General features: G+C 49.3%; 2 protein-coding genes across 10 annotated transcripts, besides 11 other annotated features; one reads left to right on the top strand and one right to left on the bottom strand.

Moving 5' to 3' along the window:
• Positions 1 to 10,948: 10,948 nt before the first annotated feature.
• On the bottom strand, positions 10,949 to 18,149 carry RETREG2 (reticulophagy regulator family member 2). 4 transcript variants are annotated; one of them, XM_005246848.4, is made up of 10 exons: positions 17,791 to 18,149; positions 17,396 to 17,502; positions 16,661 to 16,691; positions 16,179 to 16,314; positions 15,670 to 15,754; positions 15,219 to 15,362; positions 14,961 to 15,055; positions 14,649 to 14,784; positions 14,116 to 14,411; positions 10,949 to 14,010 (listed from the first exon to the last, which is right to left on the bottom strand). In XM_005246848.4, the coding sequence occupies exons 1-10, from the start codon at positions 18,069 to 18,071 to the stop codon at positions 13,795 to 13,797; spliced, it is 1,527 nt and encodes a 508-aa protein (XP_005246905.1). In that variant the 5' UTR covers positions 18,072 to 18,149; the 3' UTR covers positions 10,949 to 13,794. The 4 variants fall into 4 exon arrangements, with proteins under 4 accessions (XP_005246905.1, NP_077269.3, NP_001308038.1 ...); NM_024293.6 differs by having other exon boundaries at positions 10,949 to 14,411; NM_001321109.2 differs by having other exon boundaries at positions 10,949 to 14,411; positions 16,179 to 16,226.
• Positions 17,715 to 17,784: a silencer, noted in NCBI's record as "silent region_12346". NCBI's record gives its function as "represses an Ori minimal core promoter by ATAC-STARR-seq in GM12878 lymphoblastoid cells {active_cell/tissue: GM12878}" and the evidence as "EXISTENCE:reporter gene assay evidence [ECO:0000049][PMID:35858748]".
• Positions 17,865 to 18,114: a silencer, noted in NCBI's record as "silent region_12345". NCBI's record gives its function as "represses an Ori minimal core promoter by ATAC-STARR-seq in GM12878 lymphoblastoid cells {active_cell/tissue: GM12878}" and the evidence as "EXISTENCE:reporter gene assay evidence [ECO:0000049][PMID:35858748]".
• Positions 17,865 to 18,454: a biological region, named in NCBI's record as "H3K27ac hESC enhancer GRCh37_chr2:220042692-220043192".
• Positions 17,954 to 18,454: an enhancer, noted in NCBI's record as "H3K27ac hESC enhancer chr2:220042692-220043192 (GRCh37/hg19 assembly coordinates)". NCBI's record gives its function as "activates a minimal SCP1, AML or CMV promoter by ChIP-STARR-seq in naive H9 embryonic stem cells {active_cell/tissue: H9 hESC(naive)}" and the evidence as "EXISTENCE:reporter gene assay evidence [ECO:0000049][PMID:30033119]".
• Positions 18,165 to 18,244: a silencer, noted in NCBI's record as "silent region_12344". NCBI's record gives its function as "represses an Ori minimal core promoter by ATAC-STARR-seq in GM12878 lymphoblastoid cells {active_cell/tissue: GM12878}" and the evidence as "EXISTENCE:reporter gene assay evidence [ECO:0000049][PMID:35858748]".
• On the top strand, positions 18,268 to 24,527 carry CNPPD1 (cyclin Pas1/PHO80 domain containing 1). Of its 6 annotated transcripts, none has more exons than NM_001321390.2 (9): positions 18,268 to 18,303; positions 19,577 to 19,664; positions 20,093 to 20,201; positions 20,752 to 20,833; positions 21,316 to 21,436; positions 21,518 to 21,646; positions 22,217 to 22,278; positions 22,957 to 23,074; positions 23,296 to 24,527. In NM_001321390.2, the coding sequence occupies exons 2-9, from the start codon at positions 19,596 to 19,598 to the stop codon at positions 23,836 to 23,838; spliced, it is 1,233 nt and encodes a 410-aa protein (NP_001308319.2). In that variant the 5' UTR covers positions 18,268 to 18,303; positions 19,577 to 19,595; the 3' UTR covers positions 23,839 to 24,527. The 6 variants fall into 6 exon arrangements, 4 of the variants coding, with proteins under 4 accessions (NP_001308319.2, NP_001308318.2, NP_001308320.2 ...); NM_001321389.2 differs by lacking the exon at positions 18,268 to 18,303 and adding an exon at positions 18,603 to 18,726; NM_001321391.2 differs by lacking the exon at positions 18,268 to 18,303 and adding an exon at positions 19,250 to 19,320.
• Positions 19,235 to 19,284: a silencer, noted in NCBI's record as "silent region_12343". NCBI's record gives its function as "represses an Ori minimal core promoter by ATAC-STARR-seq in GM12878 lymphoblastoid cells {active_cell/tissue: GM12878}" and the evidence as "EXISTENCE:reporter gene assay evidence [ECO:0000049][PMID:35858748]".
• Positions 19,355 to 19,564: a silencer, noted in NCBI's record as "silent region_12342". NCBI's record gives its function as "represses an Ori minimal core promoter by ATAC-STARR-seq in GM12878 lymphoblastoid cells {active_cell/tissue: GM12878}" and the evidence as "EXISTENCE:reporter gene assay evidence [ECO:0000049][PMID:35858748]".
• Positions 19,583 to 19,877: a silencer, noted in NCBI's record as "tiled region #9830; HepG2 Repressive DNase matched - State 1:Tss". NCBI's record gives its function as "represses a minimal TATA promoter and a strong SV40 promoter by Sharpr-MPRA in HepG2 cells {active_cell/tissue: HepG2}" and the evidence as "EXISTENCE:reporter gene assay evidence [ECO:0000049][PMID:27701403]".
• Positions 19,685 to 19,744: a silencer, noted in NCBI's record as "silent region_12341". NCBI's record gives its function as "represses an Ori minimal core promoter by ATAC-STARR-seq in GM12878 lymphoblastoid cells {active_cell/tissue: GM12878}" and the evidence as "EXISTENCE:reporter gene assay evidence [ECO:0000049][PMID:35858748]".
• Positions 24,849 to 24,898: an enhancer, noted in NCBI's record as "active region_17140". NCBI's record gives its function as "activates an Ori minimal core promoter by ATAC-STARR-seq in GM12878 lymphoblastoid cells {active_cell/tissue: GM12878}" and the evidence as "EXISTENCE:reporter gene assay evidence [ECO:0000049][PMID:35858748]".
• Positions 24,949 to 25,108: an enhancer, noted in NCBI's record as "active region_17139". NCBI's record gives its function as "activates an Ori minimal core promoter by ATAC-STARR-seq in GM12878 lymphoblastoid cells {active_cell/tissue: GM12878}" and the evidence as "EXISTENCE:reporter gene assay evidence [ECO:0000049][PMID:35858748]".

The following is a 25,125-nucleotide window of genomic DNA, read 5'->3' as shown; positions in this document are numbered from 1 at the left end:
AATCACTTGAACCTGGGAGGCGGAGATTGCAGTGAGCTGAGATCACACCACTGCACTCCAGCCTGGGCAACAGAGCAAGCCTCCGTCTCAAAAACAAAAACAAAAAAACGCGAAAAAAAACCCTGCACAGTCTGAGGAGTTTGTTAAGATAAGGGAGGCGGCCAGGTGCGGTGGCTCACATCTGTAATCCCAGCACTTTGGGAGGCTAAGGCAGGCAGATCACAAGGTCAGGAGTTCGAGACCTGCCTGGCCAACATGGTGAAACCGTGTCTCTACTAAAAATACAGAAATTAGCCAGGCATGGTGGTAGGCGCCTGTTATCCCAGCTACTCGGGAGGCTGAGGCAGGAGAATCTCTTGAAACTGGAAGGTGGAGGTTGCAGTGAGTCTAGATCGCGCCACTGCACTAGAGCCTGGGCAACAAGAGCAAGACTCTGTCTCAAAGAAAAAAAAAATGGAGAGGCTGTCTGGACCTTCTCCTGAACCCCACCTCCTATCATTTGTTGGGAATCTGTTTTCAAGGAATGCAAGGCTTATTTGTGTTCTGTCTCTTCAAACCTGCTTTCTTGAGTCAGATTCGAGCTCTGTTCCTCAGTTTTACTTCCTGAGAAGCTTCCTGGCTTCTTTTGTTTTCCCTCAGCCAGAATTAGCCTCATCTTCAGGAAAGTTTAGGTGGTCCCTTAACATTAAAACCAAGGTCCTAGTGGCTTTGAATCTTTAATCACAGCCTCTAAGCCCTCTCCTGCCATGGGGCTAGCCACCTCTGCCTTTCAGGGGCCTGCCTTTAGCTTGTCTGAGCTCAGTCTTGAAGAGTGACTCAGGATTGTCCAGGTGAGATGGACAGAAAAGTGGTCCTGACTGAAAGATGCAAATACAAGAGAGGAATGAGAAGGGAGGGTTATAAACACCTGCTGTTCTGGGGTTGGAATATCCCATTAGAGGAAGGAAATGGGGAGAGATATGAAGCTGAACAGCCAGGTAATTTTTGTATTGTTTTGAAATGTGTGTGTATAAACATCTATATTCAGGTGGCAAAAACTAGGGTTCAAACTCACCTCCTGCTTCCAAGTTTAGCAGTTTTCCCATATAACCAGAGGGTACTATCAGTTAGATCAGTGGTGATCCACCAGGGCAATTTTGCCTCCAGGGGATATTTGGGGGGTGGGGAGGTAGGAGGGGGGTGTCTTTTGGCATCAAATGGGTGGCAAGCAAGCGAGGATGATACTAAACATTCTACGTCGCCTGGGCAACATGGCGGGACCCAGGCGCTACAAAAATTTTAAAAATTAGAAAGAATGAATAAGACCTAGTATTTGCTAGCACAACAGAGTGACTATAGTCAAAAATAATTTAATTGTACATTTAAAAATAACTAAAAGAGTATAATTGGATTGTTTGTAACACAAAGGATAAATGCTTGAGGTGATGGATACCCCCATTTGCCCTGGTGTCATTATTACTCATTGCATGCCTGTATCAAAATATCTCATGTACCCCATAAATATATACACCTACAATGTACCCACACACATTAAAAATTAAAAAAAAAATTTTCTAATTAGCTGAGTGTGGTGGCACACAACTGTAGTCCCCATATACTTGGGAGGCTGAAGTGGGAGGATCACTTGAGCCCAGGAGGTTGAGGCTGCAGGTGAGCTGTGTTCATGCCACTGCACTCCAGCCTGGGCAACAAAGTGAGACCCTGTCTCAAAAACAAAAAAACAAAACAAAACAAAAACCCAAAACCAACCAAACAAAAAACATTCTACAATGAATAAGACAGTCAGCCCCACCTACCACCAAATAATAATTATCTGGCTCAAAATGTCAGTAGTACAGTCTTTGAGAAACCCTGATTTAGACGAAATGTAAAACTGGAGCTATTCTGAGTTCAAATCCCAGTGCCAGTAATTACCAGCGGTTAGAAATGGAAAGACCAGTGCACAGTGACTTCACTAGTATTTCAGTATTTATTTTATATAAAATGGTAATTTATTTTTAAAGCAAAATGTTCAACATTAAAAACAAAATGCTTAATACCTTTGAAAGACAAACATTTATGTATATATTTATATATAACTAAATGTAGAAATATGACTTAAATATAATTATTTTAATATAAATCAACAGAAGTAATAACATGTTAAAGTAAAAAATTAAACTCTAATAAAAATGAAAATGTAATCATAAATAATTGAAAATAAAATTATTTGCTCTTTTTATTTTTTTATTTTTTGAGATGGAGTCTCACTCTGTTGCCCAGGCTGGAGTGCAGTGGCGCGATCTCCACTGACCACAACCCCTGCCTCCCGGGTTCAAGCTGGGTTCAAGCAACTCTCCTGCCTCAGCCTTCTGAGTAGCTGGTATTACAAGCACGCACCACCACACCCAGCTAATTTTTGTATTTTTAGTAGAGATGAGGTTTCACCATGTTGGTCAGGCTGGTCTCGAACTCCTAACCTCAAATGATCCACCCACCTCGGCCTCCCAAAGTGCTGGGATTACAGGTGTGAGCCACCATTCCTGGCCTGCTTTATTTAAGACTAGAGATCTCTTGGCCGGGCATGGTGGCTCACACCTGTAATCCCAGCACTTTGGGAGGCCAAGGTGGGTGGATCACGAGGTCAGGAGATCGAGACCATCCTGGCTAATACAGTGAAACCCTGTCTCTACTAAAAATACAAAAAAATAGCCGGGCGTGGTGGCGGGCGCCTGTAGTCCCAGCTATTCGGGAGGCTGAGGAGGGAGAATGGCGGGAACCCGGGAGGCGGAGCTTGCAGTGAGCCACGATGGCACCATTGCGCTCCAGCCTGGGCAACAGAGTGAGACTCTGTCTCAAAAAGAATAGAGATCTCTTAAAATATATAAAGGTGTTACTGTTAAGTTGCAAATGTATTTTTTGTGCAAATTTTGCTAGCTTCTAAAAAGCTCTTTCTGGTGTTATACTACTCAGGAGAATGGTAAAGAGATGGTTATAATTTAACTTCACATAGTTATTTCATTATTTCTTGTTTAAATAATCTCATCTCTTGTTTGGTAACTTTGAGGAGTTTTATTTTTTTTCCTTTTTTTAAAAAAATAGCTCTCATGATCCTGGATGAGATCTTTTTGAACAATTATTTTGTTTCTTTGCATAGATGTGTTTTTTTGTTTTAAATTCTGGTGAGCTCTAGTTTTTTCTTCAAAGGACATATTTTTGGTTTGAATCCATCTTTTCTCAGTTATTTTTTATTTATTTATTTATTTTTTAGAGATCGGGTCTCACTCTGTCACCCATTCTGGAGTGCAATAGCATGATCATGGCTCACTGCAGCCTCAAACTTCTGGGCTCAAGGGATCCTTCTGTCTCAGCCTCCCAAAAAGCTGGGATTACAGGCATGAGCCACCATGCAGAGCCCTATATCCATCTTTTTCAATTTCATTGAATATAGATTGAGATTCTGATGCAGAAAACTCATTTAAAATTTAATGTCCTGTTTCTAAGGTCTACTTGTTTAAAGAGTCTTTGAACTAGAATAACTGTTGTCGCAACAGAAGCTTGTTTTGTCCATTGACATTTTTTTCTCCTTTTGAAGTCTGTGGAATGCAACAATGCTTTCTAAACAAATAAGCCCTTGTGTGTTCAAATTTTTAATGCAGCTATACCTCATTTACAAATGATCTAGAAGTCAGATCTCTTTTTTTAATGCTTAAAGAATTATTTCACTTAGGGCCGGGCGCAGTGGCTCACGCCTGTAATCCCAGCACTTTGGGAGGCCGAGGCAGGTGGAGGTCAGGAGTTCAAGACCAGCCTGACCAACGTAGTGAAACTCCGTCCCTACTAAAAAAATACAAAAATTTGCCAGGCATGGTGGTGTGCACCTATAGTCCCAGCTACTCGGGAGGCTGAGGCAGAAGAATCTCTTGAACCCGGGAGGCGGAGGTAGCAGTGATCCCAGATTGTGCCACTGCACTCCAGCCTGAGTGACAGAGCGATACTCTGTCTCAAAAAAACTAAATAAATAAATAAAAGGAATTATTTCGCCTCAACTAAAGTTCTGTTTTGGTACTTTAAAATATGAGGATATGTGGGAATACCAGAATACTGAAAAACAGTATTGTGATCACAACCAGCTGCGTGACTTTGGCCAAGTCATTTTACCTCAATAAGCCTCCAGTTCCTCATCTATAAAAATCAGTTCCTACATCAATGCGGAGTGATGAAGATTAAATAAAATGATGCATGTAAAGCACTGAATTCTATGACTGACACATACTCAATAATTAACAAATGTATATTATTAGTTGTTTGTGCTTTTTTTTTTTATGAGACAGGGTCTTGCTCTGTTGCCTAGGTTGGAGTGCAGTAGCTCAGTTACGGCTCACTGCAGCCTCAACCTCATGGGCTCAAGCGATCCTCCTGCCTCAGCTTCCAGAGTAGCTGAGATCATAGGCACAAGCACCTCACCTGGCTAATTTTTTAATTATATATATTTTATAGAGATGGGGGGGTGGGTCTCACTATGTTGCCTAGGCTGGTCTTGAACTCTTGGCCTCCCAAAGTGCTGGGATTACAGGCGTAAACCACTGCACCCAGCCTATTTTTATTAAGATGGGGCCTCACTCTGTTACCCAGGCTGGAATGCAGTGGCACGATTATAGCTCACTGTAGCCTCGAATTCCTAGGTTCAAGTGATCCTACCACCTCAGCATGAGCCACCACGCCCGACTTGTTTGTATATTTCTTAGTTATTACTAAATTTGTTCATTTCTCATGTGTTGATAAATTGTATTTTTAATTTTAAAAAATTAGTACATTGTCAGTCCAAATCCTTTGATATAATTTCCAAGTAAATTTTGTGTGGTAGTTTAAAACTATATCTACAATTTCTTTGATACTTCTCCCTTCAAGAGGTGGATTTTTTTTTTTTTTTGAGACGGAGTCTTGCTGTGTCGCCCAGGCTGGAGTGCAGTGGCACGATCTCGGCTCACTGCAACCTCCGCCTCCTAGGTTCAAGCGATTCTTGTGTCTCAGCCTCCTGAGTAGCTGGGATTACAGGCACATGCCACCACACCCAGCTTATTTTTGTATTTTAGTAGAGACAGGGTGTCACCAGGTTGGCCAGGATGGTCTCGAACTCCTGACCTCGTGATCTGCCCACCTCAGCCTCCCAAAGTGCTGGGATTACAGGCGTGAGCCACCACACCCGGCCAACTACCCAGATTCCTAATCCTCAGAAGTAGTGTGAGATAATGTTTGTTGTTTTAGGCTGCTAACTTTAGAGTAGTTTGTTATGCAGAAGTAAATTATCAGTACACTTTGGTATTGACACTTTTTACTGAAGTGTTGTCTTAGTCCATTTGGGCTGCTATAACTAAATACCTGAGACTAGATAATTTATAAACAATCAAAGTTTATTGCTTACAATTCTGGATGCTGGGAAGTCCAAGATCAAGGCACCAGCAGCTTTGGTGTCTAGTGAGGGCCCATCCTCATAGATGGCACCTTCTATGTGTCCTCAAATGGTAGAAGGCGCAAACAGGGTTAGGTTATCTCAAGTCCTTTTATAAGGGCACTAACCCCAATTTTATTTTTTTGAGACACCGTCTCTCTCTGTCACCCAGGCTGGAGTGCAGTGGCACTATCCTGGCTCACTGCAACCTCTGCCTCCTGGGTTCAAGTGATTATCCTGCCTCAGGCTCCTGAGTAGCTGGGACTACAGGCGTGCACCACCATGCCAGGCTAATTTTTGTATTTTTAGTAGAGACAAACTTTCACCATGTTGGTCAGGCTGGTCTCGAACTCCTGACTTCAGGTGATCCACCTGCCTCGGCCTCCCAAAGTGCTGGGATTACAGGCATGAGCCACCGTGCCCGGCCTTTTTTTTTTTTTTTTTTTTTTTTTTGAGACAGAGTCTCACTTTGTCGCCCAGGCTGGAGTGCAATGGCGTGATCTCAGCTCACTGCAACCTCTGCCTACCAAGTTTCACCATGTTGGCCAGGCTGGTCTCGAATTCCTGACCTCAAGTGATCTACTGGCCTTGGCCTCCCAAAGTACTGGGATTACAGGGGTGAGCCACGATGCCTAGCCAACTAATCCCATTTATGAGGGTGGAGCTTTCATGATCTAGTCATTTCCTAAAGGGTGAGAGATTTGGGTGAGGACACAACCAAACCATATCACAGGTGCAGTGGCTCATGCCTGTAATCCTAGCTTCTCAGGAGGCTGTGGTGGGAAGATTGTTTGAAGTCAAGAATTTGAGACCAGCCTGGGCAACAAAGCAAGACCTTGTCTCTAAAAGATACTTTAAAAATTAGCTGGGCCAGGTGCGGTGGCTCACACCTGTAATCCCAGCACTTTGGGAGGCCGAGGCAGGTGGATCACCTGAGGTCGGGAGTTTGAGACCTGCCTTACCAACATGGAGAAACCCTGTCTCTACTAAAAATACAAAATTAGCCAGGTGTGGTGGTGCATGCCTGTAATCCCAGCTACTAGGGAGGCTGAGGCAGGAGAATCACTTGAACCCGGGAGGTGGAGTTTGCGGTGAGCTGAGATTGCACCATTTCACTCCAGCCTATGCAACAAGAGTGAAATTCTGTCTCAAAACAAACAAAAAATTAGCTGGGCATGGTAGTGGGCACCTGTAGTCCCAGCTACTCGGGAGGCTGGGGCAAAGGGGTCACTTGAGCCCAGGAGTTTAAGGCTGCAGTGAGCTATGACCTTACAGCTGCACTCCAGCCTGGCCAACAGAGCAAGACTCTGTCTCAAAAAAGAGTCTAAATCCAAAATTGTTTTCCAAACAACATAATAATTTGATGCAATCACAGAAGATCAAGCTAGTTGGGCAATCTTACCTTAAACTCAGAAAACCCCGCTCCCAAACCAGCAAATACGAATCTCCAGCTCTAGATTGTTTGAATTGCCTTTAACCTAGTCCAGGGAAAAAGAACTCACAAGTCTATCTGCCGATTATTTTAACCTAGCTACTATTCCCTCTAGAACAGTAATGGACAAGCAAAGGCATGCATCAATAACATAGCCATGTATCAGTCACCAAACTCTTTTCACTAGTTGCTTCAAAATCTATAACTGGTTACTCTAGTATTAGTTCAATTTAGTCTAACACGCATTTTTTGAGCACCTACTATGTGCCAGACACTATGCTAGGCTTTGAGGATATTCAGATGATAAGACATTGTCTCTGCCTTCAAGAATAAGCAGTATTGTGGCGGGTATACATACGTATATATGTATCTGTATACACACACACACACACACACACACACACACACACAGACCTATATACTCTATATCCACATACTTTCAGAGAGGGTATAAGGATTCCCTGTGGTAAGTGGGAAAACAGAAGTATGCCCAATAGACTACAAAAGCACTAGGAGAGTGGGACTGACATTGGGGTGGGGGGTGGCATGGTGAGGGATATCAGGGGACATTGGTAGATGAGGTGTGGCCTGAAGTGCATCTTAAAAGATAAGTGAAAGTCGGGCATGGTAGCTCTCGATTGTAATCCCAGCACTTTGGGAGGCAGAGGCGGGTGGATCATTTGAGGTCAGGAGTTTGAGACCAGCCTGACCAACATGATGAAACCATGTCTCTACTAAAAATACAAAAAAATTAACTGGGCATGGTGGTGTGAGCCTGTAGTCCCAGCTACTTGGGAGGCTGAGGCAGGAGAATCGCTTGAACCCGGAAGGTGGAGGTTGCAGTGAGCTGAAGATTATGCCACTGCACTCCAGCCTGGGCGACAGAGCGAGACTCCATCTCAAAAAAATAAAATAAAATAAAATAAAATAAAATAAAATAAAATAAAATAAAATAAAATAAAAAGGTAAGTGAGACATTTGCCAAGTGAAGGGATAGGGGGTGTGTGTGTAGAGCAGAGGTGGGGGAGGGCAGCACAACTGAGCAGTGGGGAGGACAAGCTGTTTGGGGTTTGCTGTTGCTGTAAAGACAGGCCAGCGTCAAATCTCAGAATACTTTTTTTTTTTTTTTTTTGAGATGGAGTCTTGCTCTGCCGCCCAGGCTGGAGTGCTGTGGCATGATCTCGGCTCACTGCAACCTCTGCCTCCCGGGTTCAAGCGGTTCTCCCACCTCAGCCTCCTGAGTAGCTGGGACTACAGGCATGCGCCACCACACCCGGCTAATTTTTGTATTTTTAGTAGAGACGGGGTTTCACTAGGTTGGCCAGGCTGGTCTTGAACTCCTGACCTCAAATGAGCCATCCTCGGCCTCTCAAAGTGCTGGGATTACTTTTGTTTTGTTTTTGAGACAGAGCCTCACTTTGTCGCCCAGGCTGGAGTGCAGTTGGGTGATCTTGGCTCACTGCAACCTCCACCTCCTGGGTTCAAGTGATTCTCATGCCTCCACCTCCCCAGTAGCTGGGATTACAGGAGCACGCCACCACCACTCTTGGCTAGTTTTTGTATTTTTAGTAGAGACGGGGTTTCACCATGTTGTGGCGCCAGGCTGGTCTTAAATTCTTGACCTCAGGTGATCCGCCCACCTTGACCTCCCAAAGTGCTGGGATTACAGGCATGAGCCACTGCACCCAGCCTCAGAGACTTCCCCCTTTTTTTTTTTTCCCCAAGAGGGAGTTTTGCTCCTGTCACCCAGCCTGGAGTGCAATGGCATGATCTCGGCTCACTGCAACTTCTTCCTCTCAGGTTCAAGCGATTCTCTGGCCTCAGCCTCTCCAGTGGCTAGGATTACAGGTGTGCACCGCCACTCTTGGCTAATGTTTGTATTTTTGGTAGACACAGGGTTTCATTATGTTGGCCAGGTCTCAAACTCCTGACCTCAGGTGATCCGCCCACCTCAGCCTCCCGAAGTGCTGGGATTACAGGCGTGAGCCACTGTGCCCTGCCTCAGAAGACTTCTTGACTGTATCAGGGAGGTTGAATTTATGTCTCAGAGGAGGAGAGCCATCAGTTAACAGTAAGTAGTAGAGAGGTCATCAGATTTGTGTTTTAAGATAATCCAGCCACCTTCTTGGGCACAAATTTCAGGTGGGGGGACAAGAATATGGCAGGGAAACTGTCCCACTGGGCCAGATGAGATGAGGAGGATGTGAGTCAGGGCTGTGATGGAGGTGACAGTCAAGAAATCAGCAGCAACTGGTGATCAACTGAGTGTGAGATGAGGGAGAAGGAGGCCTTCGTGGTTGGTATACCAGCAAGTGAGATGGAAATTACAGAAAAAGACTTCTGTTTTGGGGAGGTGGGGGAGTGGAGTGCAGAGTGGAAAGAGGATGTGTTCAGTTTTGGATATAATGAGCAGAAGGTTACCTGTCTTCATCCATTTTCCGTTGTTTGTATCGTAACAGAATACCTGAAACTGGGTAATTCATAAAGGAAAATAATTTCTTACAGTGATGGGGAATGAGAAGTCGAAGGTTGAGGAGCCGCATCTGGTGAGGGTCTTCTTGCTGATAGGGACTCTGCAGAGTCTTCAGGTAGCACAGAGGATCACATGGTGAGGGGGCTGAGCATGCTAGCTCAGATCTCTCTTCCTCTTTTTATATAGCCATGAGTTCCACTCCCATGATAACTCATTACTCCATCACCCCATTAATTCATGAACGGATTTATCCATTCACCTTTTTTTTTTTTTTTTCTGAGACAGAGTCTTGCTTCTTCGCCTGGGCTGGAGTGCAATGGTATGATCTAGGCTCACTGCAACCTCCACTTTCCTGGTTCAAGCAATTCTCCTGCCTCAGCCTCCCAAGTAGCTGGGATTACAGGCACGTGCCAGCACACCCGGATTATTTTTGTATTTTTAGTAGAGACGGGGTTTCACCATCTTGGCCAGGCTAGTCTCGAAATCCTGACCTCAAGTGATCCGCCCACCTTGGCCTCCCAAAGTGCTGGGATTCAGGTGTGAGCCACTGCATCCAGCCTCCACTCACCTCTTAAAGGCCCATCTGTCAATATTGCCACATTAGGGATTAAATTTCAACTGAGTTTTGAAGGGGACAAATATTCAAATCATAGCAGTACCCATGGGACATTCAAGTGGAGATGCCTAGTTGGGAGTTCTGGGAAAGGAAATGAACTAAGATTTAGAAGGCATCCGCATCTGAGTGGGAACTATATGGGTGAATATATGAAATCGTCCATGATGAGTGAGCAGAGGGCAAAGACAAGTGAGCCACTGACACCCAACAAAATACCAACATTTTTAGGTTGTGGGGTGAGGGGCAGAGTTTCGCTCTGTCACCCAGGCTGGAGTGCAGTGGTGCAATCTCGGCTCACTGCAACCTCCGCCTCCCGGGTTCAAGCAATTATCCTGCCTCAGCCTCCCCAGTAGCTGGGATTACAGGCATGCGCCACCACACCCGGATAATTTTTGTACTTTAGTAGAGATGGGGTTTCACCATGTAGGCCAGGCTGGTCTCAAACTCCTGACCTTGTGATCCGCCTGCCTCGGCCTCCCAAAGTGCCGGGATTACAGGCGTCAGCCACCGCACCCGGTCCAAAATACCAACTTTTAAGGGAGCAGACAGAGGAAGAGAAGTCCAAGCTGACTTTAGTTGGACATTAAAAGCAAAACATGGTGATAATATTGTCCTTCCATGTTGGAATTATTCTTAGAATTACCGCCCTTGATCATTATACTTTTGCAGATCATTTAAATCTGCTTTGCAATATTCCCTTGACTAGAAAATTAAATTCTACCTAGCACTATTATCAACCAAACTCAACTCGTATCTGCCCTCTGAAGTCCTGCAGACAAACCTTTGAAGTTTGAAGCCAGCTGATGTGAACCAACTCAGCTCTCTTCTTGGATTAGAGATTCCCAGTTCCTCCAACAGTTTGTCCTATGATGATTTTCAGCCTTCATTTCTAGCAGTCATCTCCTGGACATACTACAATTTGCCCACAAGCCTAGCAAGCCATCCTCTGGAAGTATTAGGATATTCGTGCACAGGACACTAGAATTATCACATTTCTTGTTTTGGAGACTACACTTTTATTAATGCAGCCTAAAATTAAGTTTATAAGCAGCAACATTAAACTATTAGCTGTTTGAATACATAGCTAAAATGTACTCCCTCCTCCCCTAACATAAACATGTAGCCAACTCTTCTCCCCTCAGCCTGTACTTTTCCAGTTGATTTTTGTTTAGCCTAATTGTAGGTTTCACATTTCTGCTTTTTTCTTTTACTCATATGAAAACCTCTGGCCCTTTCATCGTGGGGCATGAACCGGCCAAGACACCTGATAATAGAAAAAAAAAATCATAGACAAACATGTAGCAACCATCAGACCATGGTGAATGTAAAGAATAGACCCTCATGAGGCTGGGCGCCGTGGCTCACACCTGTAATCCCAGCACTTTGGGAGGCCGAGGTGGGTGAATCACCTGAGGTCAGGAGTTCGAGACCAGCCTGGCCAACATGGTGAAACCCCACCTCTACTAAAAATACAAAAAATAGCCAGGCATCGTGGCATGCACCTGTAATCCCAGCTACTTGGACGGCTGAGGCAGGAGAATTGTTTGAACCTGGGAGGCAGAGGTTGCAGTGAACCAAGACTGCACCATTGCACTCCAGCCTGGGCAACAGAACAAGACTCCGTCTCAAAAAAAAAAAAAAAAAAACCCACAAAAAACAAAAAACCAAAACAACAACAACAAAAGAATAGACCCTCATGAAACTCCAGGCCTATGGAGAATATTTTGATCCAGCTACAAGCTTCTGGTTCTATTGTCAATGTCCAAGCTTAATAAGAAAATAGATTAAAGATAGGACATGTTGCAGTCATTGCCTGATTAATTCTATTTTTCTTGAATTGCTTGCTTATTGATTAGAACTGTTTTTCCATTCCCCTCTGAAATCTCTAAGTGATGAAAAGTTCGAGTTCCTTTAGTGGCACAGGACAGGGGCTCAATCAAACCCTAGAATGATTCTCAGTCAAATGTGAAGCAAACAGAAAAATTCTTACACACTTAGGAAAGACATGGCATAAAAGTCAACCTCAGAAAGACAGGCAGCATTACCATATGGTACCTCCAGCAGACAGCCAGGCAGCATTACCATATGGTACCTCCAGCAGAAAGACAGGTAGCATCGCCATATGGTACCTCCAGCTGAAGGCGGAGGACATGAACTCATAAAGGAGGCCATCTGCTCAGTTCTGGGCTTTTCTTCCCCAAAGAGGAAGGCTTGCCATGTCCACTCTTTGTTAAGCCAAGGCATCAGATTGGTTCTCTATAGTTCCCACATCCTTGTGCATCTTCCTACCTGTGCCCTATTAATGGACAGGGGCTGTCTGATGCATTTGCTGAAGCCAAAACTTCTTGGGTTTGGGTTCTGGCTCCACAATTTACTGGGACCTGTGGCCTTCAGGAAGCTTAACCTGTCTATAAAATGAAGTTAGTAACAGTATATATCTGACCTGTGAGGAAAAATCTTAATACATATAAATCACTCAGAGCAGAGCCAAGCACATACAATGGACTCAGTAACTGTTAAGATACTATTTCTTCAGTGTTCCTTGGCTCCAACTCATTTCTAACACAGGTAAAGGTCCTCTATTGCTTGTTTGGCTTCCCCAGTAAAGATAAATCCAGGCTGAGTGAGTTGTTAGCATGTAGATGGGTGAAGACTTCTTAAGAAAGCAGTGTTAAGGTTGTAGGCCACATGGTAAAACACAATTTTTATGGTCCCGAATTTCTACCGATTGGGAAGACAAAGCAATTTCCTCCTGCATATACTTTATTCACACATGCTAAATCTCACTAAACAGATCACACTGTCAAGGAAGATGGCTAAGGAGAAGCTAGGGTTGTCAAGGTAATCCTTGCTTCGGCCCTGTTTTGCAACAAGGTAATAAACAGCCAGAACAGACTGGAGTGAAGCAGGTTAAGGGTGAGGAGAGAACACAGTGCAGTGCAGGGTGTGGAAGGCAGCTCACAGTCAGGGAGGCAGCAGTTCTAGCCAATCAACACTTTATTTTTCAAGTCAACACCTGCACAGATGTTAGTGTCCACTTCCTGACCCTAGTAGGGGGTCCCACTACACTTGGATCACCCAGAGGAGCAGTAAGGAAGCTCCTAATCTCAAGAGAGAGCACATGCTCACCAACTCCAGTGCTGGCGCCATGTACTGCGGGATCCCTGCTCTCCTGCATCATGAAAGGCCGGGCTGAATGGGGCAAGGATGCAGTGAAGGTTACACAGACTACAGTGACCTAAGAGTGTAACTACTGGCCTGACCCACTGCCCCAGGTTTACTCTTTACTTCCCAGACCAGGAGCCTCCCTAAAGCTTGGCCAGTGCCCACGGGATAGGAGGAGCTGGCAAAGGATGGGGTTGAGCTGCTAAGGACAGGACACAGCAGGGAAATAAAGCAGAAAGGAACACAAGACAAGAGAAAAATTATAAAGTGCCTCAACTAAACAACCAAGTGGGACATGAGGGCAGAGCAGCACAGGTCCCTGAGGATAGGAGGAAAAAGAAAGGGCCAGACCACCAGGGCTTGGGGCATAGTGGAATGAGAATAGAGATGAGGCAGGGAGGCAAGCGCAGGCTGTGGGAAGGACTTCCCTAGCCCTGTTCACATCCACTAACCCAAATGGAAAATTATTTACAAATTTAAAACCAATCCTAGGCACAGGTACTGCACCATGCCCAGGACAGCAGGCAGGCAGGCAGGCAGAGGGTGGAATAGCTACCATCCGACAGCCAGCTTCCCCACACACTGCCCCACCCCAGAGTGGTAGGCAAAGGAGGAAACAGCAACACTCCTAGCCAGGAAGCCCTACTGTGCCTGCAGCTCCTTCCTCAACGGCTGGCTCATGGCTCTGCCACGGCCTGAGCTTCTTGGTCTGACTGTACCAGAGAATGGATGTCGGGCCCCAGGGGTGGAGCATCAGGGGGTTTTGGCGGTGTCTCTGGCTCCAAGCCCAGCTCTGCATTCAGCTGCTCCAGCTCCCCCTGATCCAGCAACTCAAAGTCCTCAGTGGTGAGTGCCTCTTCTTCCTCAGGGGCAGGCAGGGGCTGGGGTGAGTCCTGGGGAACAGGTGGGAGAATGGAAGGGGAGGGGGCTGGGTCACTTCCAACAAGGCAAAGTGGAGGTGACAGGGTGCCGGGCAGAGCAGTGAGGCCACCACTCACTGTCTCGGGGCTCAGTGTCTCCACTGGTCCTCCAGGGGAGCATTTCACTCCATCTGGGGGGGACCCTGCCCCATTGAAGTGCGTGTTCACAAAGTGGAGGGGGGATGAGAGCCGCAACAAGGTTTCCTTAGCTGCCACATCCTCTTCCTCTTCCTCCGAGTCCAGGGCTTGCCTTGACAGAGCTTGAGGACGGCCTAGTAGGTCTTCGGGAGGGGCCAGCTCTCCCTCCTCTCCCTCCCCTAGGTCCCGGCTTAGGGTCTCCTCTGGTTCACTTGGCAGGCTCTGCTGGTCCAAATCTGTGCAGAGAACAAAGAATTAAGAATGGGCCTGCTGCTGGTCTGATTAGCCACAACAGACAATGAGTTCAAGGATGAGAACTCAAGACATGGAAAGCTGGGCCAAGCCTTAGGTGTTAAGGTCTTTTAGGAGCTGAGAGAATTAGAGAGTGAGTGGGCCAGAGAGCACAGTAAGTACCCATGGTAGGGAACACAAAGATTGTGGCGGGGAGCAGGGCAGCAAAGGGCTCCCCATACCCTCGGAGACATCAGTCAGCTGCGGAGTTGTGGCCCGGGATACGGAGAAGCCACCACTCTCCAAGATAGAAGCCTCCTCATCTGACAGCTCTGAGTCTGTAATGGCCAAGGCCAATGCTGTTTTCTTCACATCCACCTGGCAGGAGAACCAGGATGAACACGACATGTGAGGGGATAAGAGAACCAATTTATCAGGAGCATCCCCTCTCCCAAAACCTCTGGCTTCCACCTCCTTTGGAGGTGGCAGCTCCAAAGCAGAAAGATTTTTCCTCTGGCTTTCTATTTGACACCCCCGCTTTCCCTGGACCTCACCACTGGGGAGAAGCCAGCCAGCTCTGCCTCGCTTTCACTCTCTGTCTCTGCCAGTGGCTCATCACCTCCTGGGGGTGCATTCTTCCCCTGACGCTCTAGAAAAGCAAGAGTAGTAGAGCAATGACCAAGCATGAATGATGGGAGGGGAGACAAACACAGCTAAAGAACTGGAGAAGATCTCAATTCCAGGGCATCTCATGAACCCCAAGCCAAGGCCCTCCCGCTCTTTCACCCTCCTGGCTTAGGGCAGCCCCTTACTCCTCTTGTCGTGTTTGTGATGCAGGGCATTGGCTTCTGCCTTCATGCTGTAGTCCAGCTGCATGAGCAGGGGCTCCAGGCGAGTGTACATCCTCTGGATCAGCTCATGATAAACCACCAGGGGCCACAGCAGGATACTCAACACTATGGGTTAAGAACGTGAACTAAGAGCTCCCTACGCCAATTTCCTAAGAGCCCCCATTCAACTGGTCCCTAAACTGAAGTGCTGAAGGTAGGCAAGGTCCTTTCCCAAGGCTGTGCCAACCTCTTCTTGCCACATCCACTGCCCTCCTCCCCAGGTAAGTCTTCCACAGTTACTAATACTAAAGCATCCCTGGAGATCTCCACAAATCAGAAACTGAGCAGAGAGAGCATAGTCTTCCCTCTGGGTCAGTCCAAGGAAAGAAGAAAGGAGAGGGCTTTAAATAGGGCAGGGACAGACCCTACTCACAGACAATGTAGGAAATCATAATCCCTGGAACATAGTGTCCCAACACAGCCAACACAGCACAGCCAGAGCAGACTCGAACGCAGAACTGCAGAGAAGAGCAAAAGTCTAAGAACATCACGCTGAGATATGCGCCCCGCTCGGCTGGGTAAGAAACTACTGCTCAGCTGGTAGAAGGATGGGTATGTACTCAAGGAATGGGGTGGTCCAGTTTGGTTAAGAGGATGCTCAAGACCACCAATTCAGGAAGCTGGCAATACATAATGCCCACCACCTGTAATTCACACTGGTCTGCCTTGGCAGGAGAAAGTGTCAGGCTATCAAAAGCTTATTTCCTGAGGTGAGACTGCCTCCTGCACCAGGGATTAGCTGTGAATGTTGCCTCAAGAAGGCGCCCAGGCCTCTTCTTTCAGGGTCTCCAAGCGGGGAGTTTATATCACTCCACTCCCATCCCCCGCCACCTCTATTCCCCTTCAGTGTAGTGAACTGTTGTATGATGTAGGGGAGGTTACCTGAGCTGGATTCTGCCTCTTGTACTGCAGCAGCTCCTGCAGGTGAATCTGGAAGGTGAGCCAGCTCTCAGCCAGGTATCTGCACAACTCGGGCACACTCAGCAGGTGCGGCCGGGCGCCTGACCCCGCACCCTCACTGGGGAGACATGACATGACCCCTGGAGGCCTCAGATACCAGCTTCCTAGACACTTAAATCCCTCTGAGAATGCCAAAGATATCTTTAGTCTAAAAAAGCAAATGACCCCACCTCTCAAAAGGAGGCTGTCCTGGTCTTAGAAGCAAAGCCAGGAGGACCCAACCCTCTGCCCCAAAAGGAGCAGGCACGCAAACACCTACACAGGAGCCTAGGACCATGAAAAACCCATGGCTTGTTACCAGTTCATTCACAATGCTGGGGCACTGCCCTGCTCCATGGTGACACTGGCACCAGCAAGCAGGACAGGATGTGGGCATTTGTCTTCAAGAGGTGGCCTGTACTCACCTGTCAGAGTGTGGCTCCTCTGGGGATGATGCTAGAGAGAGAGGAGGGGGGCAAATTATTGAGTGGTAGGGGCCCTGGGAGACACTCCCCAAGGCAGAAATAGTTGTCCCTCCTCTGCAGCCCCAGAGCACCTTCTTCAGATGCCAATGGGGGAGCTGTTACATGTTTTTGTTTGCGTCTGTCTCCTTTAGACATTACCCTTCTCCAACATAAGAACTAGATTTTACTCATGCTTATCTCCCAAGCAACTCACATACAGCCTGTCACCTACTAAGTAAATTATATGGATAACAAGAAAAACAACACTGACGTTCTATTTATAAGGCTTATATGTGAAACACTATCATAAGTATAGCATGTGTATTAACTCATTAATCCTCTCCTCACCTCTCTATGAAGTAAGTTCTATCATCTGTGTTTTACAGATAAGGAAATTGAGACAAACAGAAATTGAGCTACTTTTACAAGGTCACAGCAATGGTAAATGGCAGAACAGAGAATGGAACCCAGGTAATATGGCTGCAGACTTCACCATCTTAACCACTGCACCTACAGTAGTATTAGTTTGGGAAAGGGGCAATTCTCATTTTAGGGAATTCCGTACAAAAAGGAAGTGGGCCATGCCTGGGAGGCAGGTGGCCTGCTGTACGTTCCCCTCGCCACTTAACCCCACCCAGCGGAATCAGGCACCAAGCAAGTACCCAATGGGTGCTTACTGAATGAAGAAACACTCACCTGAAACGTCAGGGAGAAAGCGAGGCTGCCAGAGATCCAGCAGAAAATAGGCCAAAAGTGAGACGCTGAGTAGGAAGAAGGGCCGGAGGGACGAGGAAGACAGCAACCTTAGGGAGAGACAGGCACCTCAGCAGTGAGTGGGTGAGACAGGCTCATGCATCCATCTCAGAAGGTGGAAAGGCGCCTACTGATGGGGTAATGGCACCTCCAGGCCTAACTCGCGACTCACGACTCAGAGATAGAAAAAAATGGGCAATTCAAGCGGATGTCAGCCTGCAAAAACTGGGGATGGGTCATGCCCCCAGGCCAAGTGATAACCCAGAAAGGGGAATGGTGCTCTCGACCCCTCCCTCCCCCGCTCATCCCGGCCCCGCCCCCTCCTCCGCGGCCGTTACCAGAAGAGGCCGTTGAGCGCGGCCGCCGTGACCAGGCTGTGCAGCGGCTTCTCCCACACCAGCAACCGCTGCGCCGCCGCCAGCACCGCCTCCCAGCCGCGGAGCCGCAGCCACAGCGTCGTGGCCAGGCGTCCCACCGCCTCGGCCGTGGCCGCCTCCTCCTCTGCCTCACTGGTGGCCTCACTCATGCCTAGGCTCAGACCCAGACCCAGGCCCAGGCTCAGGCCCATCCCCGGCCCCCCACCCGCGCCAGTGTTACCCCCGCCACCGCCGCTCGCCATAGCCCCGCCGCAGCCGCCGCCCGAGCCCGCGAGGAGCCAGGGCTGCGCGGCCGCCGCCGGGGGCGCGTCAGGCGGAAGGGGGCGCCGCGGAGGACAGCAGAGGTTGCGGACGAGCGTCACGTGACTGCGGAGCGCTGAGCCCGTCACGTGACGCGGCCTAACCCCCCCCCCCCCGGATAGGGCGGGCCGCGCATGCGCCCCGGCGGCTGCCGCTGACACTGCGCCTACACAGGTTCGTTTTCTGGTTGACGAAGTACCCCGGGTTCCGAGTCCGGGTCTAGGTCCAGGCAGTCGAGCCCGTTTTCTTATCCCACAGTAGGCAGGGCGGCTAGGGAGTGTGGTGCTGCCCCGGTATCCCCGTGTGGGGCAGGAAGTGGGCTTCCAGATTCCCAGTATCCCCGGTAGGGTCTGCTTCTGCTCGCTCGGGAAGGGCGGTGGCCGTCCCATTACTCAACCAACCCTCAACGCACTGGTCCTCCCAGTTCCCTCCCCTCAGTGGGTAAACAAACACACACCAGCGCTTGACTCGACAGACTCGAAAACAACATCTACTCAGAAAAGTTGTTTCTTTCCTATCTCCTTAAACTTTCCCACTTCCACATATCGGAGCTTCTTCCCACCTCGGCCTACTCAAGCATGAGATCGGAGGCGGGAGGTGGGTTTCAACACAAAACCTTGGGTAGATGCAGTTTACTTTTGGGTGGACGTGTTGACACGTTTTGAGGCCTTACATTCGCTTAAGATCACAGAATTTCCTCAGTAGCCTTAGGTTTAAAAGTTCAAATTACAGTAAAAAAAAAAAACACCCTGAGTTTCTCTTCCTTTTCATAGTTCACCCACTGCTAAATTTCCTGTGTGTCCTTTCAGACGCTTTTCATATGCATTGCTGAGTATGTATAATATCTCTCCTAAAAAGCAACTGGGAACAACTTCCTGTTGTGCGTTTCGTCTTATTCACATTAACTTCTCCATTGCTACGCCTGGCTTGTTCATCCTCAGTGCGGCGTGGTCCCCCCTACGAATTGTCCCCATTTCTCAGAGGCGCCTGGGGCTTGGCCACGTTCCGTGAGACCAGGAGTTCGAGTCCGGTTCCTGCCCGCGGGTCGGGGCGGGAGGCTGGGCCAGATGGGCGGCAGGAAGTGCCAGGCGCTGACTTGCAGGCGGCACCCCCGCGGCTTGTAAACGCCGGGCGGACGCGGCACAGGCGGAGTACGCGCCTCGCAGCCGCATCTCCTTTCTGCTCCGCGAGGTGAGCGTCGCACGGACGCTTGACACCTCCCTTCCCGGGCCTAGGGCCCCCGCGCGCCGCGCCAAGCCCGGGGCGGAACAGGAAGAGGCGCCCAGTTCAGCCCGGGCCCCGCCTTCCGCCGCCGGGGGGAGGGAGCTGCGAGGGCGAGGGCGAGGACGGCGGCCCGCCCCGGGGAGGCAGGCTGGCAGGTGGACAGGCGGGCAAGGACAGCTCCGCGAGCCCCCTACAACTCGTTTCCTTCCGTTCACCTTCGCAGGGCGGCGACTGGCGGCGCGATGGACCTGACCGGGCTCCTGCTGGACGAAGAAGGCACCTTCTCCCTCGCCGGCTTCCAGGACTTCACGGTGAGTGGGGGTCCCGCCCCCTCCCCGGCCTCCCGGCGCGCCCCTCCCGGCCTGAGCGGCGCTGCGAGCTCGCCTGACTGCTGTGCCGGGACTGGGCGGCAGCTGCTCGAGCAGTGCTTCCTTGAGGCCGCGGCTGCTTGGGCCGGGAGGGAGAGCCGCGGAGTATAGGAATGGGCGTAGGGGTGGCCACACGAGGGCCCTTCTCGGAGAACTTCTCCCGGGGAACCCTCGATGGGGGTGGGGGCATTCCTCCCTCTATGGACCAGGCTGCCATTGGCAAGCGATTTACAGAACGCGGGTCTGGGTAAGGCACGGGCCCCCTAGCAGCGAGGCCGGCCTGTCCCCTGCCCCGCCTTCCAGCCCAGAGCCAGGATCTGCATCATACCTTTCCGTGCCCTTCACCCTCCGCTGCCCCTGCCCTGTTTCAGTTCCTCCCAGGACACCAGAAGCTGAGTGCCCGGATCCGAAGGAGGCTCTACTATGGCTGGGACTGGGAAGCCGACTGTAGCCTGGAGGAGCTCTCCAGCCCGGTGGCAGGTTAGGCAGTGTTGTGTGACTGGACAAGTGAGAAGCATGAAAATGGGATTGTCATCAGGCAGAAAATGGCTCGAGGTTTGCCCCGTGGCTACACTGTCTCTTCATTGCTAGCTCGTTGGTACTTGGTTCAAGAGGGCAGTTTGCATTTCCCATTCTTTTAGCCCAAATGAATAAAAAACATTGCTGCCACATATATCTATACAAATCACTCTTGATTTATATATTGAAAAGCTAATTTTCGAAGGATATCCATCATATGTTCCCCAAGTAAACAAGGCATGTTTATGCCACAGATGAACAGCAGTGACAGATAAATCTGGATAGTTTGATGTGACAGGGCAATAAGCTTTCCTGTTAGAATGAGCTGAAATTCGAACTTGGAATGGGCTTTTTGTCTCAGTGTGTGAGAATTTGATCTCTATTTTGTTACTATGGTCCTGTCCCCAAGGCCTCAGAAAATACAGATCTGGGTCTTCTGCTAGCAGTGGGGACTGGTGTGTTGGGTGTGGGTGCTTGTTTGCTCACTCGGCCTTCCTTCTGTCCCTTGCAGACATTGCTGTCGAACTGCTCCAGAAGGCAGCCCCCAGCCCTATTCGCCGACTCCAGAAGAAATATGTAGCTCATGTGTCCCGGTGAGCCTGGAAATGAGGATAGGATGAGAGTGTTTGGGCCCTAGAGAAAGGGGAATCGTCTTTTCTTTCTTTTCTTTCTTTCTTTTTTTTTTTTTTGAGACAGTCTCACTTTGTCACCCAGGCTGGAGTGCAGTGGCACAATCTCGGCTCACCGCAACCTCCGCCTCCTGGGTTCCAGTGATTCTTGTGCCTCAGCCTCCCCAGTAGCTGGGACTACAGGCACACACCACCGCCCCTGGCTAATTTTTGTATTTTTAGTAAAGACGGGGTTTCACCATGTTGGCCAGGCTGGTGTCAAACTCCTGGTGTCAGTCCACCCACCTTGGTCTTCCAAAGTGCTGGGATTACAGACATGAGCCACCGTGCCCAGCCAGGAATAGTTTTTTTCCAAAGATAAGAGGTAAAGACAGGAACGAGCATCATAAGACTTGCAAGAGCTGAAGGACCCTTGGGTTTAATTAGTGATCCTTTCTACCACCCAGGGAGGCATGCATCTCCCCATGTGCTATGATGCTGGCTCTGGTGTACATTGAACGGCTCCGGCACCGAAACCCAGACTACTTGCAGCATGTGTCATCCTCTGACTTGTTCCTGATCTCCATGGTAAGACACCCCCTCCCCATCTCCCTAAAGAGCCAAGAGCCTGCTATGAGCTCTGCTCCACCACTTCTGGTTCCTCTGCAGATGGTGGCCAGTAAGTACCTCTATGATGAAGGGGAGGAGGAGGAGGTCTTCAACGACGAATGGGGAGCTGCTGGGGGTGTGGCCGTGCCCACTCTCAATGCCTTGGAGAGGGGCTTCCTGAGTGCCATGGTGAGCAGCTGTTCTCTCTCTTGCTCAGTTTCCCTGGCCCATCTTTAACCGTCCTTTAGTCCTTTGTTCTCTCTCAGTCTTCTGTTGGTTCGTCATTTCTCTTCCTGTCCTCCTCCTGCCTTTGTGTTAGTGTCTTCCTTTCCTATCTCTTCAGTACTAACCAGTTTTTGGAGATTCGTAGAGCAGTAAGGCCAAGAGCAGAACATTTCCTCGCCTCCTCTATTCCTCCAGGGCCCCACAGGGTACACTCTGAGTCAGAGTTTATCCTATTGGGTTCTGAATATTTGTGTCCATACTTTCTCTGCCCCTAGATGTTTAGCTCCCTGTGGACACAGACCATTCTCAGGGTCATTTTCTCCCCTCTTGCTTAGTGGAGAGTATAATGTGAAACCAGGCAGGTGGTGATTCAATGAGTTAATGTGTAAAAACTTTTGAGACAGTATCTGGCACATGGTAAGTGCCAAATATGCATTAGCCATAGGGGCGGTTGTAGTTGCTGCTATGGCTCTTATTATTAAATGACTGTGGCTCATCCAAGTCTGGTTTGATGTCCACTCTCCGTACTCACAGGATTGGCATCTCTACACTGACCCTCGGGAGATCTTTGAGGTGCTGAGCTGGTTGGAGAGCTGGTAGGTTCTAGGAGTTGGGAAGAAGGGCTCGAGGGATTTGGGGGCTGAGTCCTCAGCCATAGGAGCTAGAGATGAGAGTCTGTGTAACTGGGGGAGGGAGGAGACAAGAAAGAGAATTGCCCAGATAGTGGTTCCCAGACCCATCTGTCCTCTTCTTCATCACCTTTGGGAAGGTGAGAAGCAGCTTATTTAAAATACATGTATTGGGTGGGTATGGTAGTTATGTCTATAATCCTAGCACTCTGGGAGGGTGAGGCTGGAGGATTACTTGGGTCCAGGAGTTCGAGACCAGCCTGGGCAATATAGCAAGATGCCTGACCCTACCAGAAAAAAATACTAGCCAGATGCAGTGGTGTACACCCATAATCCCAGCTACTCAGGAGGCTGAGACAAGAGGATCATTTGAGTCCAGGATGTTGAGTCTGCAGTGAGCTATGATTGCACTACTGCACTCCAGCCTGGGAGACAGCAAGATCCTGTCTTAACAAAATAAATAAATAAAAATAAATAAAATATAGGTCTTGGTCTCACCCTTAGTTTCTAGATCAGCAGATAGCCTAGGAATCTGGGTTTAACAGGCTTCCCAGTGTTTCCTGGTGGGTCCTGAGTGGTATGAGGGTGCCACTGGGCTGGCTGCAGGACAGTTGCATACTCTTGTCATTTCTCCACTTCCCCCAGTGTGGCTGAGCAGCAGGGACGGTGGCGAGGCTGGTACACCTACACAGACCTGTGTGTGCTGCTGGAGCAGCCGACCTGGCAGTTGGCCCTGGGCTCCCTCTGCCAGCGGCTGGTAAAGGTGAGGAGGGGCTCGGAAGGATAGGGAGCTTGAGCAGGCCGGTGTGTAGGGTGGGATGGTGTGAAGTGATTGCTGAAAAGCCCAGGAGATGGGGTTGGGAATAGATGGGCAGAGTGGGGTGTAAATGGCTATAGAGACCTCCAACTGGAACACAGATTTCTAGAGACAAGGGGTGAATGTGTTAAAGACAGATTCCTTCTTTCTTATCTCCTCTCCTGCAGCTGTCTTGCCTGTTAGCTGTGGCATATGTGAGCAGTGTGGCCCTGGCTGTGGCATCGGTGGCCGTAATACATCAGTCTTTGGGGCTGTCCTGCATCCCTACACCTGGGCCGCCTGACCTTGGACTGACCTCCCGTTGCCTCCTGGAGCCCTGCATACCTTCTGTGCCACAATGCCTGCCGTCTCTCGCTAATGTCTCCAGCTGCCTGGAAGGCAGCATGGGGCTGCGGTCACTCTGGGGCAGTCTTCTGGCCTCACTGACTCCTCCACCATTGCCTCCCCCAGACCCCCCTGCCCCTCCCACTCTTCTTCATAACTGCCACCTTTGCCAGAAGCTCCAGAGAGACTCCCCAACCTGCCATGCCTGCCTCCACCCCAACCGTACAGTCCCCACTGCGCTGTCCAGCCCCTGGTACCATACCTATGGCCTGGCTCCCCCCTGGCCTTGGAGCCCGGTGCTCCTTTCACTTCCTCAGCCTCAGCAATGTTCCCTTTTCAGTGTCATGGAGCTGGCTCGCCTCAAGTCTTTCGTTTTCCCAGGCTAGGTAGGGCTGTGAGGAATGCATTAAGAGGGTTTGGGAGTTTCTGAGAACCTGGAGGAGCAAAGCTTGATTCAGATCCTGTCTGCCTCGCTGGGTCCTTGGCAGGTCCCCTGTCCTCCTGGGTGGGAGCTTATGGGGTGGTGGGGCAGAAGGACTGAAGGTAATTCACTCCTAGATCGCAGTGGCTGGCTGCTTGGCCAGGACAGTGATGCCGCCAGGGAGAGCTTCCGCTTGGTGACCAGGGACATGTCCCAGATGGACATAGAAGCCCCTCTCTGCCTCCCTGGGATTTTTTAGACTTTTACTTTTGATTTCCCTAGGATGGAAGAGTATAGGTGGGAGATAAGGGAAGTGGGGTGAGAGGAGAAAGGAAATGTTGGCATGGGCCTGTGTGATGTCCCTGAGGCAGAAGAGCCGGGGACTGATGGGTTCAGGTGGGAGCTGCTGGGTGAGGCAGGGAACCCTTTTCACTCCCATTCCTTAGCTTTAGTCTAATGGAGCCAAGGACTGCTGGGACCTTCAACCCTGATCTTTTGTCTTCCAGTCTTCTCTTAGTGTCCTGCTCCTAGGTTTCCCTCTCTTCTGGTTCTTCTCCCAGGTATTCTCTTCCCAGGCCTCTCTGGCCACTGCTTTGTATCAGGGTTTTTCACGCTTTTGTAGAACTGAGGTTTCAATAAACAGTTTCAGTTGCATGGCCTGGACTTTTCCTTCTGCGGCAGCCCTTGAAGATTTTTCCTCCCTGTATCTGCCTTCCAAGCCTCCCTGCTTCCTGATCCTGTCATCTCACAAACTGTTTTCTCAGCCTCATCTCAGGACTTTCCTATCGTTTGATAGGCATAGGCTTCCATTTCCAACTTTGTTCCTGCTCCCAGGACCCTGGGCCCTAGCACTGCTCAACTTGGGATGCCATGGGACACACATGGTGACTGTCCTGTCCCTGAGTTGGCCTTGTCTGTCACTTGTTCTGGGTAAGCACTCTCCTTGTGGATCCCAAAGCACATCTCGTGGAGAGGGGCCAGGCCTTGTAACCAGCAGAGCCTTGTGAGCTCCTGAGGGCAAGCCACGAGGACGCTTCTCTCTCCTGACCTCCTCACTGGTCTGACACATGGTGATGGTCACATGGTGCTTAACAATTCCAAGAACTTGAAGAACTCCAAGGCTGGGTCATCACTGGAGGAAGGAAAACAGTCTGGGCAGCTTGGCTGAGGGTATTTGGGACTGCTGAGGATACTTCACGGAAGAAGTGGTTCTGCCCCCTAGGGGGCATTTTGGAAATTTATGGGCTATTTT

This window comes from Homo sapiens, chromosome 2, assembly GCF_000001405.40.
Source record: "Homo sapiens chromosome 2, GRCh38.p14 Primary Assembly".
Classification (NCBI taxonomy): Eukaryota; Metazoa; Chordata; class Mammalia; order Primates; family Hominidae; genus Homo; species Homo sapiens.
Note: the sequence above shows the minus strand (reverse complement) of the source record. Positions and strands in the feature narration are given on the sequence as shown.